The 4,314-nt window shown below is 40.8% G+C and overlaps 1 annotated feature.

Annotated features, from left to right (window-relative positions):
- Window positions 255-945: an enhancer, noted in NCBI's record as "OCT4-NANOG-H3K27ac hESC enhancer chr1:43556627-43557317 (GRCh37/hg19 assembly coordinates)". NCBI's record gives its function as "activates a minimal SCP1, AML or CMV promoter by ChIP-STARR-seq in primed H9 embryonic stem cells {active_cell/tissue: H9 hESC(primed)}" and the evidence as "EXISTENCE:reporter gene assay evidence [ECO:0000049][PMID:30033119]".

Below are 4,314 nucleotides of genomic sequence, written 5' to 3' on the forward strand. Positions count from 1 at the left end.
AAAAATTTTCGCCATCCCAACACTTCAACACTATTTTGTTTTATTTTTCTTATTAATATAAGAAGGCAGGAATGTCAGGCCTCTGAGCCCAAGCCAAGCCATCGCATCCCCTGTGACTTGCACGTATACGCTCAGATGGCCTGAAGTAACTGAAGAATCACAAAAGAAGTGAAAATGCCCGGCCCTGCCTTAACTGATGACATTGTCTTGTGAAATTCCTTCTCCTGGCTCATTCTGGCTCAAAAGCTCCCCCACTGAGTACCTTGTGACCCCCACTCCTGCCCGCTAGAGAACAACTCCCCTTTTTCCTTTACCTACCCAAATCCTATAAAACAGCCCCACCCCATCTCCCTTTGCTGACTCTCTTTTCGGACTCAGCCCGCCTGCACCCAGGTGAAATAGCCATGTTGCTTACACAAAGCCTGTTTGGTGGCCTCTCCACATGGACGTGCATGAAATGAACTTTGTTCTGATTTTAGATTTTTAATCTGGTTAAGGGAGTCTCTAACACTAGCTGTTATACTGTTTTGTGTCTTAAAAAAATAAGTTAGTTACTCAAGCTCTTTGTCTTCTGCGAAGAGTCTTTTAAAAGAGGCAATAAAAATGTTTGAAATCATTTTAGGAGCTTCTGCACCTCAGCAGGTATCCCTGGTGGGGCTAATTTGGGAGCCTTCATTTTTAAATGCCCTTCTTAAAGTGCAGTGTTGTTCATATGGAATGTTCTACATAATGGTCATTGTAATTTTAAATTTTCTTTGGCATAATTTGCCCATCGGTTTAAAAATATGCAAGATAATGGGCCATAATGTTTGAATATGTGGCCGGCTAAAGTCTCTGAAGGAGCACTATCTTTGCATACCTTAGAATCTGGGATCCCATTCTGTTTCTTATTAATCTCTCAAGAGCGAAAGGAAAAACTCTACAAATACACTAGCTGCAAACAGGGTGCAACCTACATTTCTGTCTTGCCATGTATTAGCTGCAAATGGAACACAAACAACATTTCTGTTTGGTTATTCTTGGGGTGCTTCTAACCTTTTGGTCTGGTGCCTGCACATGCAGCTCCAATACCTGTGTGCCTCCAATAGACAGCAAGTCAAAATAGTGTTGACTCATGCCTGTTAAAATGTTATTTTGCTCTTGGAAGATGTTCAGAAACAAGAAAAATCTAGCTAACCTAAATTTTAAATTAGGTGTGCAGAAACCGAAAGAGTACTCACCAGATGGATGATGTCCCTGAGGCCTTTATAAAACCAGATCCTGAATAAAGTCAGAGCTCAACCAAAAGGAGTGAGTCCAAAATATATGAGGCGACTGACAGAAACAAAGAGGTGATTCATGAAAATGAAGAGCACAGCAGCTCAGGTGGGTACTGTACTCTATTCCTGGGGCCACCAGTCTCTCCAAGGTGAGCTTGCTTCCCTGTCACTTCTGACACCAGATTGTCAACTATAATGAGTGACAAAGAGACCAACTCTGCAAAGCAAAGAGTTTATTTGGGAATAGCAAAGGGATTGCAATCTGGGATATACATACTATGGCAACCATATGCATATCTGGAGAGGCTGGGGCAAAAGGAAACTTTTTTTTTTTTTTTTGAGATGGAGTCTCACTCTGTCTCCCAGGCTGGAGAGCAGTGGCATGATCTCGGCTGACTGCAACATTGCCTCCCGGGTTCAAGCGATTCTGCTGTCTCAGTCTCCCAAGTAGCTGGGACTACAGGTGCGCGCCACCACGCCCATCTAATTTTTGCATTTTTAGTAGAGACAGGGTTTCACCCTATTGGCCAGGCTGGTCTTGAGCTCCTGACCTCAAGTGATCTGCCCGCCTCAGCCACCCAAAGTGCTGGGATTACAGGCGTGAGCCACCATGCCCCTCCAGGAAACTTTTAAAGACAAAAAAAGAAGTCCACATAAGGTATTTTGAAACAAAGACCATAGGTTACAGGGGCTTGTTGCAGGAGCTGGCATCAATTCATTGGTGGAGACACTTGTTGCTAGATAAATGTCCTTGTGCCAGTGGTTACCTGGAATACAGCAGTCTTGAGGAAGTTCTTGTGATAAGTCCTGTTACTGGTCTATGTGCAGGAATTTCTTGTGGTAAGTCTTGTTATGAGGATGTATGCATAAGGGCTTCTTTTTCATGGCCTCCCCTGACTCCATTTTGTTAGAATTTGACATAAATGACTCCCTTTTGGTACTGGCAACTTTCACAGCTTCTTTTAAGAAATGCTGTATCTCAGTGCTAACAATGGTACAGAGAGAAATATTGTAAATGGACACCTCTGAATTTAAATGCAGCTCAGAAGAGTCAGACTATAAAGAGGCATTTTAGGACTACTTTTACATATGTATTTCACTGGGTAATGCACTCACAAATTTATTTCCTCTTCATGCAGGCACAGAAGTGATATATAATAACAATTTAAGAAAGCCCTTTTAATACCTATTTAATGGAAATTCAATGTGATAAAAAGCATGTTATAGTTTTATTGGTAGAGTTTTTTCTTAGTGGTACATAAAATAATGATGTTCTTAAAAACGGACATCTTAGATTTAATTACACGCAGCAGTACATACAGGACACTTAAAATGATATATGCTACATAGTGTATGCAAAAAATTGTAGCTGTTATTACTACTGTATCATTTTAGTTGTGTTTCTGGAGGAGGGGGAAGAGAACTCCCACTTTTTGTGTTAGTCAAGTATGGGAAAAACAGGGTCGGGGAAGACCTCTTAAAACCATTGCAGCTTTGTAATCACAGCAACGATAAGTGCAAAAATGATCCTAATGAAAAAAACTCACAAACTTTAAAAAAGGTTAAACTCCTAATGAGAAATAACTGTGAATTTAGGACTTTAGCTTAAAAGATGAAGGTAGCTTGATGAAGAGGATGTAAAGAAGGGATATAAGTGCTGATTTATGGAGATAAGTATAAAATACACAAATACCAGGGGAAACTTTACATCAGTTACTTCCATGACAGAGCTGTGGCCAAAAGGAAGACTGTGGAGCAAATGAGTATGATATACACGATGGATCAGAGTCTCCTTAGCTTGCTGCAGTCAGTCACATTAGTGTGCTCAAATTCAAATGTTGTTAGTTGGTGGTGGAAGGCATTAATATTCCGGAAAAATTACATATGAACCAGTGTAATGACTACCTAATAATGGCTTCATTCCCCTATATGCTAGTCACATGGAGCTAATCTGACTTACAGATGCTTGACTTAGAGCAGAACAGACTGAACATTCAACATTCTTAAATAAAAGAATTTTCTTTTTTCTTTCTTTTTTTTTTTTTTTTTTTAAGATGGAGTTTCACTCTTATCACCCAGGCTGGAGTGCAATGGCACAATCTCGGCTCACTGCAACCTCTGCCTTCTGGGTTCAAGTGATTCTCCTGCCTCAGCCTCTCGAGTAGCTGGGATTACAGGCATGTGCCACCACGGCCGGCTAATTTTGTATTTTTAGTAGAAACGGGGTTTCTCCATGTTGGTCAGGCTGGTCTTGAACTCCTGACCTCAGGTGATCTGCTTGCCTTGGCCTTCCAAAGTGCTGGGATTACAAGCGTGAGCCACCGCGCCCGGCCCAAGAAAAGAATTTTCAACACAGAATTTCATATCCAGCCAAACTAAGCTTCATAAGTGAAGGAGAAATAAAATCCCTTACAGACAAGCAAATACTGAGGGATTTTTCTCACCACCAGGCCTGCCTTACAAGAGCTCCTGAAGGAAGCACTAAACATGGAAAGGAAAAACTGGTACCATCCACTGCAAAAACATACCAAAATGTAAAGACCATTGAAACTATGAAGAAACGGCATCAACTAATGGACAAAATAACCAGCTAGCTTCATAATGACAGGATCAAATTCACACATAACAATATTAACCTTAAATGTAAATGGGCTAAATGCCCCAGTTAAAAGACACAGACTGGCAAATTGGATAAAGACTTAAGACCTGTCGGTGTGCTGTATTCAGGAGACCCATCTCACGTGCAAGGACACACATAGGCTCAAAATAAAGGCATGGAGGAAGATTTACCAAGCAAATGGAAAGCAAAAAAAGCAGGGGTTGCAATCCTAGTCTCTGATAAAACAGACTTTAAACCAACAAAGATCAAAAAAACAAAGAAGGGCATTACATAATGGTAAAGGGATCAATGCAACAAGAAGATCTAACTATCCTAAATATATATGCACCCAATACAGGAGTACCTAGATTCATAAAGCAAGTTCTTAGAGACCTACAAAGAGACTTAGACTCCCACACAATAATAGTGGGAGACTTTAACACCCCACTGTCAATA

This window comes from Homo sapiens, chromosome 1 (genome assembly GCF_000001405.40).
Source record: "Homo sapiens chromosome 1, GRCh38.p14 Primary Assembly".
NCBI lineage: Eukaryota > Metazoa > Chordata > Mammalia > Primates > Hominidae > Homo > Homo sapiens.